The sequence below is a fragment of the Homo sapiens genome, chromosome 1 (assembly GCF_000001405.40).
Source record: "Homo sapiens chromosome 1, GRCh38.p14 Primary Assembly".
Lineage (NCBI taxonomy): Eukaryota > Metazoa > Chordata > Mammalia > Primates > Hominidae > Homo > Homo sapiens.
In genome coordinates, this window is record NC_000001.11 from 12,937,919 (window position 1) to 12,949,083 (window position 11,165).

The 11,165-nt window shown below is 46.6% G+C and overlaps 1 protein-coding gene across 1 annotated transcript; it reads right to left on the reverse strand.

Annotated features, from left to right (window-relative positions):
- Nucleotides 1-553: 553 nt before the first annotated feature.
- PRAMEF6 (PRAME family member 6) lies at nucleotides 554-9,662 on the reverse strand. The gene is made up of 4 exons (NM_001010889.2): nucleotides 9,599-9,662; nucleotides 4,314-4,622; nucleotides 3,066-3,647; nucleotides 554-1,318 (listed from the first exon to the last, which is right to left on the reverse strand). The coding sequence occupies exons 2-4, from the start codon at nucleotides 4,598-4,600 to the stop codon at nucleotides 757-759; spliced, it is 1,431 nt and encodes a 476-aa protein (NP_001010889.1). The 5' UTR covers nucleotides 4,601-4,622; nucleotides 9,599-9,662; the 3' UTR covers nucleotides 554-756.
- Between the last annotated feature and the right edge of the window lie 1,503 nt (nucleotides 9,663-11,165).

Below are 11,165 nucleotides of genomic sequence, written 5' to 3' on the forward strand. Positions count from 1 at the left end.
CTACTTGCGTGGATCACCCAAAGTCAGGAGTTTGAGAACAGTCTGACCAACATAGTGAGGAAACCCTGTCGCTACTAAACATACACAAATTAGCTGGGCATGGTGGTGCATGCCTGTAATCTCAGCTACTTGGGAGGCTGAGGCAGGAGAATCATTTAAACCCCAGGTGGAGGTTGCAGTCAGCTGAGATGGCACCATTGCACTCTAAACTCCAACCTGGTCAACAAGCGTGAAACTCTGTCTCAAATAAAAGAATGGGAGGAAACTGATTACAATAACCAAATTTCATTTAAATGCCTTGATTTTCTTGGGTAGCATCTTATTGATTGGACAACTCAGTGCCTTTTGTTTTTTCCATCAATAACTGAAGATTCCTGAGGCTTAAACTGGAAAACAGGTTACTTAATAATAGAGGGCACTAGACAGTTACCACTCAGTTTTCCTTTATTTCTGATTGTTTCTTTACAACCATCCATGCAAGAGTAACTCCCTCATGTATTCTCAAGCCTCCACTCTAGACATTCAAATTCCCATTTTCCACTCTACAGGACACAGGTCCCCAAAGTCCCATCGAATCCATGGCAACACTTCCCCCAAGTCCTGCCCCTGCTTGATCACCTTCCCTTTCCCACTTTCAGAGCCCATGTGTGAAATGATGGGTTCTGTGCTCCCTATAGGATGTACCTAAGACCTAGGTTTTAGTTTCCAAGTGTCCAGAAGAAAGCGTTTGACATATCCACCCAAATAGGCAGGCATTCAACAGCAGCATTGATCTGCCTCCAGGTCATAAAATGACCTGTTGCCACAGTCAGGGCAGCAGTCAGTACAGAACAAGATCCTCTTGGGGTGCCTTAAGTCCCTCACTCTCTTCATCAGCTCAGCCCTAATTTGAGCAAATCTGCTCCAGCAGAGAGTACCATCAGCATCATAACTCTCCCGGGGGGCAGGATACAGCTCCACGCATAAGTTTTTGAGTATGATTGTGTGGCTCAGCAGGTTCTCCAGGGTGGCCATGGAGATGGGATTTCCACAGAAGCTGAAGGTGTTGAGCTCAAAGCAGCGGCTCAGGGCAGGCAGGATGGCGTTGACTTGGGAGTCTATGATGCCACAGTCATCTAAATCCAGGTACTCAAGGGTGGCTGCAACTTTTTCTAGGAGAATTTGGAGAGGCACAAGACTGTAATTGGTCAGTCTGATGCCACTCAGGTCCAGGGTCTTTAGTTGACTGATACTCGGGCACTGGGATAGATGCTTCAAGTCTGATTCCAAAAGCACACAGTTAGTTATTGTGAGGACCTTTAACGAGGTCTTCAGACAGCTGGGGAGAGAGAGCAAGAAGTTAATTCTGGGGAATCATAGGGGTGAGTGGAGGGTGGTGGGGAATGGCTTCAAGGTAATGGATGGAGACCATTTTGCCCAAGTCCAGGGTCATTCTGATGGCCTGATGGTCAACACTTAGGATGATGTGTGATGAAGAGTTTTGCCACCGAGGTCAATTCCACTTTAGGCCCGGCCCAGTAACTCACACCTGTAATCCCAGCACTTTGGGAGGCTGAGACTGGTGGATTCCTTGAGATCAGGAGTTTGAGACCAGCCTGCTGAACATGGCAAAACCTCCTCTCTACTAAAAATCCAAAAATTAGCCAGGTGTGGTGGCGGGAGCCTGCAATTCCAGCTACTTGGGAAGCTGAGGCAGAAGAATCGCTTGAACCCAGGAGGTGTAGGTTGCAGTGAGCAGAGATCATGCCACTACACTCCAGCCTGGGTGACAGAGAGAGACTCCGCATTAAAAAAAAAAAGGAGAAAAAAATAATTCCATTTGAGGCTGAGTCACTTCACCATCATTTATAGGAATGGATCAAGTTCACAGAATCCCTAAAGCTCCCTTTCCTCATCTGTCAGGCAGAAAACCACATCCCTGGGCCACAGGAGCCCAGTGGAGATTCAGGCATAAAGGACAAACCCAGACAGGATCCTGCAACATCAGCTACGGTGGGCGGGCTGCAGGCGTCCCTGACAAGCCTGTATCATCAGCAAACCATCTATCACTTTCACCATTCTTTGTGCCTGCTCCCTGACCCTCTGTTTCAGAATCATGCATTTCCTAGGTAATTAATTTACCTGGAGCTCAAAAGAAACTTTTACAACACGGAATTAGAGATGGGATCATTCATGTTCACGAAACTGTGGGGCACAAAGCTGATTTTCTGACATGTGCAGGTTTGCTGAGCATTCCCCTCTTCAGTGCCCACTTCACTTCCCTACTTCACATCATCTTCTTAAAAATTATCTTGTTGGCTGGGCGTGGTAGCTCTCGCCTATAATCCCAGCACTTTGGGAGTCCAAGGTGGGTGGATCACCTGAAGTCAGGAGTTGGAGAATAGCCTGGCCAACATGGTGAAACCCTGTCTCTACTTAAAATATAAAAATTAGCCAGGTGTGGTGGCTCACGCCTGTAATCCCAGGCACTCAGGAGGCTGAGGCAGGAGAATCGCTTGAACCTGGGAGGCAGAAGTTGCTGCGAGCTGAGATGTCACAACTGCACTGTAGCCTGGACGATCAAAGTGAAACTCCATCTCAGAAAAGAAAGTTATCTTGTTTGTTTTTACTTTTATTTATTCATTTCTGACAGGGGTCTTGGTATGTTACCCAGACTGGTCTTAAACTCCTAGGCTCAAGCTATCCTCTTGCCTCAGACTCCCAAACTGCTAGGATTACAGGCATGAGCCACCGCCCCTGGCCTATTTTTCATCATCTTAACTTAGACACACATCCTCAGGAAGAATTCAGAAAGGCACCCTCACTAGATCTGAACCCCCCAGGAGCTAGCTTCCTAGCATGGCAGCCTCTCCATAGCATCTCCCCTAGCTGATCCCTCTGCCTCTATTGGGAGGGTTGCATGATACCCATTTCAGGACAGGGCCGCCAACAGGACAATGCATGGACATTCTAGTGTCCCCTTCACTGTTTCATCCTCATAGGCTGGCTCACAGTAGATGCCCACTAGCGTTTACTGTAACAGGCTCTGCTGTGGTCTGCAGAGAAAGCTCACCACCCTCCCTCACCTGAGCAGCTGGTCCAGGTGGCCTTCGAGGAAAGAAACAGAGTTCATAGAAAGCTTTTGGAGGCAGCACAGCTTGAGGAACTGAGTGGTGAACTGGGTAACAATCTCCTTCTTCTGCTCTGGGGAAACGTAGCGAGAGACATCCATGTGGGAGAGAACGAGCTTCTGAAGATTCCTCATGTGGCCCAGGTATGGGGTAAACTGTGTCAGGATGGGCAGTACCCACTTGCAATTCACTTCCACCTCCTGGATACAGTCTAGGTTCACCATTTTCAGGATGCTTCTGATATTGCGGAAGGGCATTCCCAAAATTTTCAGCTTCTTACAGCACAGGTGTAGTAAATCTTTCCTCTGCTTGACCCATAGAAGGAGGCAGGTGAGGTATTCATCCAGAGTCCTGTTCTTGAGCCAAAGTTCTACGAACACAGTCAAGGGCTGCTGTCCTCTCATCCTTGGACAGTCCTGCACTGGTGTTTTGTTCCTCTTGGCATTGAGGAAGCACCCACGGGCCATAGCTTCAGACCAAACCATCCAGAAGTTCTCACAGACATCCTGTAAATCCAGCACTTGAAGTTTCCACCTCCTGTGGGAAAATAGAGGTGAGAATGAGAATTTCAGAACTCATTTCTGAACTTAAACTCCACATCCTGCATAGCAGCTCCTCCCCTCCCTGCTTCTTCTCCCTCTCTCTGACTTTTCTTCACCCTGTTTTCCCCTTGGATCCTGCCCACTTCCACATTTTTTTGTTTTTCTTTTGAGACCAAGTCTCCCTCTGTCACCCAGGCTGGAGTGCAGTGGTGTGATGTCACCTCACTGCAACCTCTGCTTCCCGGGTTCAAATGATTCTCCTGCCTCAACCTCACAAGTAGCTGGGATTACAGGAACCCACCACCATGCCCAGCTAATTTTTGTATTTTTAGTAGAGTTGGGGTTTACCATGTTGGACAGGCTGGCCTCCAACTCTTGGCCTCAGCCTCCCAATGTGCTGGGATTACATTGTGAGCCACCGTGCCCGGCCCAGTTCTCACTTTTCATGGTGCCTTTCAGTGCCATTAGAGGAGAGGTTCCTGTTACCTCCATGGACCTTGCGTGGTGAGCAGTGCTTTCCCTGAGGAGCTGGTGAATGGCCAAGTCCTCTCGGCTTCCTCACCACCACCATCCCCCTTGGGCCTCCTCACTTGTCATGACACAGCTCTTCCTTTGGTTGGATACCTGGGCCCTCCCCACCAGCCCACCTGGGCCACCTCACCTGGGATGAACCCCTTGGGTAAGCAGTGCATCCAGCCCATCGAGCACAGCTTGGAAGGCCTCCAGACAAGGCATCTTTATCAGAGGCCTCAGAGGGAGGCGGCGGAAGGGCCAGGCCTGCACCATCAGCTTCAGGGCCTCACAGCGTCTCCTGCTGAAGGCCTCCATGAACAGTGGGGGGAAAAGTTCTGTGGGCAGCTCCTCCAGGGTGGACATGGCCAAGGCTTGGTCCCTCAGCAGGCTCCGCCCTGCAAGCTCCAGGAGTCTGGGTGGAGTCCGGATGCTCATCTTCACGAATCTGCAGGGAAAACTTCCAGAGGACAAACCCAGAGAAAAGGCATCACTCTCAGGCCAAGCCCATGCAATCTTATCTTCTCCCAAGGCCAAAGTCACTGCTCTGGCAATGGTGAAACAGCCCTCAGTTTACTCCAATTCTGCCCTGTACTCAGTGGCCATTAAGCCAGCATTCTGCCTCTGCTGCATCAGCATGAGCGTCTCCGAAGCAGTGAGGAAGCAGGGCCACCACGAGCCCTTCCTTTCTATCCAGTGCTCCATCCAGTGACTAGTGAGTGTGGAGGAACCTGAAAGTGAACCCCTCCTACCATTGGGGGAAATTACTAATTACTCAAGGTTCTAAAACAATGGGAATGGGAATGTCACAAGCCTACATGCCCACATTTTCAGTTCCTACAAATAAGCTTGTTGGGAACATTCATGGGGCATCCCTAGAACAGGTTCTATTTGTTTTCTTTTCATTATTTAAGCTTGCTTTCTCTTTCTCTCTCTTTCTTCTTTCCTTCTTTCCCTCTCTCCCTCCCTTCTTTCTTTCTTTCCTCCTCTCTCTCCCTCTTTCTTTCTTTCCCCCTCTCTCTGCCTTCTTTCTTTCTTGTCTTCTTTCCCTGCATCCCTTCTCTCATTCTCTCTCTCTTTCTCTCTCTCCCTCTCTCACTCTTTCTGACAGGGTCTTGCTCTGTCACTCAGCCTGGAGTGTAGTGGTGGGATCTCAGCTCAGTGCAGCCTTGACCTCCCAGCTCAAAGGATTCTTCCTCCTCAGCCTCCCAAGTAGCTGGGACCACAGTTATGCATCACCACACCCAGCTCATCTTTTATTTTTTGACTTTTTGTAAAGACAGTGGATTTCGCTATGTTGTCCAAGCTGGTCTTGAACTCCTAGTCTCAAGCAATCTACCCCTGTTGGCCTCCCAACATACTGGGATTATAGGTGTGAGCCTCCACCCCTGCCTCATTATTGAAAATTTCAGTGAGAAGCTCTGAAAGCTATGTGACACTGTTATGCATTACTCACAAGATAGATGTTTCCAATGCACACCTCTTACACATATTCAAAGTGAACCACTTTGGCTGGGTGCAGTGACTCACACCTGTAATCTGAGCATTTTGTGAGGCCGAGGCAGGTGGATCATCTGAGATCAGGAGTTCAAGACGAGCCTGGCCAACATGGTAAAACCCTGCCTCTACTAAGACAGCAAAAATTAGCCAGGTGCAGTGGTCTGCGCCTGTAGTCCAAGCTACTAGGGAGGCTGAGGTAGGAGGATCGCTTGAATCCAGGAGGCAGAAGTTGCAGTGAGCTGACATTATACCACTCCACTCCAGCCTGGGAAATAGGCTAGATTGAACAGAGAGACAGAGAGAGCTACATTTGATTAGAATTCTTAATCTCTACCCAGTTAATCCTGATTGGATTTTTGCCTTTCTTAAATATTAACTGATCAAATTAGATATTCATTCATCAAAATGAAAGATTTAGGGATAGGGTGAAAGTCCAGGACTCATTCACTGATTCCCTTCACAAACATGGGGTTTTACTAATATGTGTCCTTCAAAGTCCTGAGTGTGAGACAGGGAAGGGTTGAACCTCTTCCTGATATTAGACAGAAAGAAAGAAAACTTGAAAGTATCTTTGTTGAGGGATCCTTGGCCATGCCAAGTTTATCAAAATATTTCAGGGTTAAAACAGTTTTCAGAGACAGAGATGACAGTCCCTAAGAAAACACAATAGAAATCTTCATATATCCAATGATCACCTAGGTGGCATAAGTCTTTTTGGTGTTGAGGGAGCTGAATCTCACTTCATCGGCCAGGCTAGAGTGCAGTGGTGTCATTTCGGCTCACTGTTGCCTCGGCCTCCAAGATTCAAGCAATTCTCATGCTTCAGCCTTCCACATAGCTGGGACTACAGGCATGCACCCCCTGCAGCCATGTCTCCATTTGGGTGGAAGAGGATGTGATTGGTTTAAAATTAAGGTCAAAGATCCTTTTTGATTGATTTTGTTTTTGTTTTTTGGACAGGGTGTCTCTCTTTTGCCCAGGCTGGAGTACAGGAGTGGTATGAGCATGGCTCACTGCAGCCTCAATCTTCTGGTCTCAAGTGATTCTCCCACACCAGACACCCAAATAGCTGGGACTACAGATGCATGTCACCATGCTCGGCTAATTTAAAAAAAAAAAAGTAGAGGCCAAGCACCAGTGACTCACAGCTGTAATCCCAGCACTTTGGAAGGCCAAGGCAGGTGGATCACTTGAGGTCAGGTGTTCGAGACCAACCTGGCCAGCATGGTGAAACCCCACCTCTACTAAAAATACAAAAATTAGCCAGGCATGGTTTCAGATGTCTGTGACACCAGCTTCTGAGGATGGAGACTGAGGCATGAGAATTGCTTGAACCCGGGAGGTAAAGGTTGCAGTGATTTGAGATCGTGCCACTGCACTCCAGTCTGGGCAACACAGTGAGACTCCATCCCCACCCTCAAAAAAAAAAAACGTTGTGTAGAGGAGGGCTTTTGTCATGTTGCCCAGGTTGGTCTCAAACCCCTGGGCTGAAATGATCCTCCCACTTTGGCCTCCCAAAGTGTTGGGGTTAAAGGCATGAGTTATTGCTCCCTTCAAGAATTTTAAAATGGCATCAACCAAAGCACAATCAACTTTTTTGAAATAAAGACAGAACTGCATTTAGAGGAAAACATTCAAAGCTTCAAATTGTTCATATGAAAAAAAAAAAGGACAGGATATAGCTCTGTGCCATCGTAGGCTGTACTGTCACCACCCCAGACCGACTGACTGTAGGTCAGATGGGAGTGTCCTTACAGAAATTAGTGACTTACCAGATCTGGATGTAGTCTAGAAGGTGCTCAGTCCTCAGGAAGAACCAAGCAGGAACTCTAGGCTTGAAGACTTTGGGTCTCTCCTGTGGGTCTTTAGAAGCTTTTATTGACCTTTCTAATCACAACTCCCACCCACGCCCCTGCACATATCCGCTGCGACCTTCCAATCAAAAAATGATATCTGATTGCATTTGTGAAGCTCCACCCAGTTAATCCTGATTGGGTTTTTGGCTCTCCCCAGATTACCGGATTGAATCAGATGTCCATTCATATCACATATCTATATTCACTTCATGAAGCAAGAAATCGACAGTGTTAGGGATAGGGTAGAAGTCAAGAATACATTCATTCAAGGCCAGACGAAGTGGCTCACACCTGTAATCCCAGCACTCTGGGACGCAGAGGTAGGTGGATTATCTGAGGTCAGGAGTTTGAGACAAGCCTGGCCAACATGGTAAAACCCTACCTCTACTAAAATTACAAAAATTAGCCAGTTGCGGTGGTCTGTGCCTATAGTCCAAGCTACTAGGGAGGCTGAGACAGGAAGATCGCTTGAACCCAGGAGGCAGAGGTTGCAGTGAGCTGACAATACACCACTGAACTCCAGCCTGGGAAATAGGCTAGATTCAAAAAAAAAAAAAAAAAAAAAAAAAAAAAAAAAAAGAAAAAGAAAAAGGAGAGAGAGAGAGCTAGATTTGATTCGAATTTACCCAGTTAATCCTGATTGGATTTTTGGCTTTCTTCCAGATTTACTGATGGAATTAGATATTCACCCATCAAAGTGAAAGATTTAGGGATGGGGTGGAAGCCCAGGACTCATTCACTGATTCCCTTCACAAACAAAATGGGGTTTTATTAATATGTGTCCTTCACAGTCCTGAGTGTGAGATAGGGAAGGGTTGAATCTCTTCCTGATATTAGACAGAAAGAAAAAACTTGAAAGTATCTTTGTTGAGGGATCCTCGGCCACATCAAATTTATCAAAATATTTCAGAGTTAAAACAGTTTTCAAAGACAGAGTTGACAGTCCCCAAGAACACACAATAGAAATCTTCATGTATCCAATGATCACCTGGGTGGTATAATCTAATTTTTTTTGGTGTGGGGGAAGCTGAGTCTCACTTTGTCGCCCAGGCTGGAGTGCAGCGGCGCCATCTCAGCTCACTGTAACCTCCACCTCTGAGATTCAAGCAATTCTCATGCTTCAGCCTTCCACGTAGCTGGGATTACAGGCATGCACCCCCACACCCATGTCTCCATTCGAGTGGAAGAATTACAGTGAGGACGTGATTGGTTTAAAATTAAGGTCATAGATCCTTTTTGGTTAAGATATTGTTTTTGTTTTTTGGACAGGGTCTCTCTCTTTTGCCCAGGCTGGAGTACAGCAGTGGTGTGAGCATGGCTCACTGCAGCCTCAATCTTCTGGGCTCAAGTGATTCTCCCACACCAGCCACCCAAATAGCTGGGACTACAGATGCATGTCACCATGCTCGGCTAATTAAAATAAAAAAAAGTAGAGGCCAAGCACCAGTGACTCACAGCTGTAATCCCAGCACTTTGGGAGGCCAAGGCAGGTGGATCACTTGAGGTCAGGTGTTCGAGACCAACCTGGCCAGCATGGTGAAACCCCACCTCTACTAAAAATACAAAAATTAGCCAGGCATGGTTTCAGATGTCTGTGACACCAGCTTCTGAGGATGGAGACTGAGGCATGAGAATTGCTTGAACCCGGGAGGTAAAGGTTGCAGTGATTTGAGATCGTGCCACTGCACTCCAGTCTGGGCAACACAGTGAGACTCCATCCCCACCCTCAAAAAAAAAAAAACGTTGTGTAGAGGAGGGCTTTTGTCATGTTGCCCAGGTTGGTCTCAAACCCCTGGGCTGAAATGATCCTCCCACTTTGGCCTCCCAAAGTGTTGGGGTTAAAGACATGAGTCATTGCTCCCTTCACGAATTTTAAAATGGCATCAACCAAAGCACAATCAACTTTTTTGAAATAAAGACAGAACTGCATTTAGAGGAAAACATTCAAGCTTCAAATTGTTCATATGAAAAAAAAAAGGACAGGATATAGCTCTGTGCCATCGTAGGCTGCACTGTCACCATCCCAGACCGACTGACTGTAGGTCAGATGGGAGTGTCCTTACAGAAATTAGTGGCTTACCAGATCTGGATGTAGTCTAGAAGGTGCTCAGTCCTCAGGAAGAACCAAGCAGGAACTCCAGGCTTGAAGACTTTGGGTCTCTCCTGTGGGTCTTTAGAAGCTTTTATTGACCTTTCTAATCACAACTCCCACCCACGCCCCTGCACATATCCGCTGCTACCTTCCAATCAAAAAATGATATCTGATTGCATTTGTGAAGCTCCACCCAGTTAATCCTGATTGGGTTTTTGGCTCTCCCCAGATTACCGGATTGAATCAGATGTCCATTCATATCACATATCTATATTCACTTCATGAAGCAAGAAATCGACAGTGTTAGGGATAGGGTAGAAGTCAAGAATACATTCATTCAAGGGTGGGTGAGGTGGTTCATAGCTGTAATTCCAGCACTTTGGAAGGACAAGGTGAGTAGATCACCTGATGTCAGGGGTTCAAGACGAGCCAGGTCAAAAAGGTGAAACCCTGTCTCTACAAAAATACAAAAATACAAAAATTAGCTGGGCATGATGGCAGGTGCCTGAAACCCAGCTACTTGGGAGGCTGAGGCAGGAGAATTGCTTGAACCCAGGAGGCAATGGTTGCAGTGAGCCAGAATTGTGCCACTGCACTCCAGTCTGGGTGACAGAGGGACATTCTGTCAAAAAATAAAAAAATCATTCATTCATGAACTCCACAAACACTGATGGTATTTTACTAATATGTGAACTTCATAGTCTTGAGTGACAGGCAGGGAAGGATTTGATCTGTTCCCAACATTAGACAGAAAAATAAAATCTGAAAGTAGTGTTGTTAGGAAATCTTTGGCCACATCAAAATATAAAAATGCTTTCTACTTTAAAAAGCTTTATAAAAACAGAGGAGTCGTCCCTAGGAAATCAGAATAAAAATCTCAACGTATTGAATGGTCTTCGGGATTTTGTATAACCTAAGGTAGCAGATTACATGCTCGTTCTGGTGGAGGAGAGGTGCCACTGAGGGCGTGAGTGGTCTCAGGGCTTAGGTTAAGTCTTCTTTGGAAGAAATTGAAGCCACATCGATAAACTTTATAAATTTAATCAGTGAAGAAGGGAGGGAGAGAAACAAAAATAAACCAAGCTTGGAACACATTCAGCATTCATCAGGAGGTCTTCTTGCTCTCTGACCTGGTTCCTCATGGTTGCTGGCAACCTACTGTTCCAAAATCATATAGACCTTAGATTACAGTTCCCCTTAACTTCCCTGCAGACAACCATTTAAGCATTGTAAAACATTAACTTTTTCATCTGAGATATTCTTTCAGGTTCTGCATGTCAGTGAATCTACTGATGCCAGCTGATCTGAAGGGCCCTGCAATGCACCAACTCACCAAAGAATGCAGTTTCTACATCCTGTTGACTTCTTCCCTCTTACCGCTACCCCAACTTTCCAGCCCCTTGCTATCCAGGATCCACTGGAAACCCTCAGTACTCCTTGGGGAGATGAATTTGAGGATCTCCTCCTAGCTTCTCATTCAGCCACCTTGTGATCATTAAACTCTCTGCTGCAAACCCTGCTGTCTCAGAATATTGCTAAGCTACTGTGCAGCAGG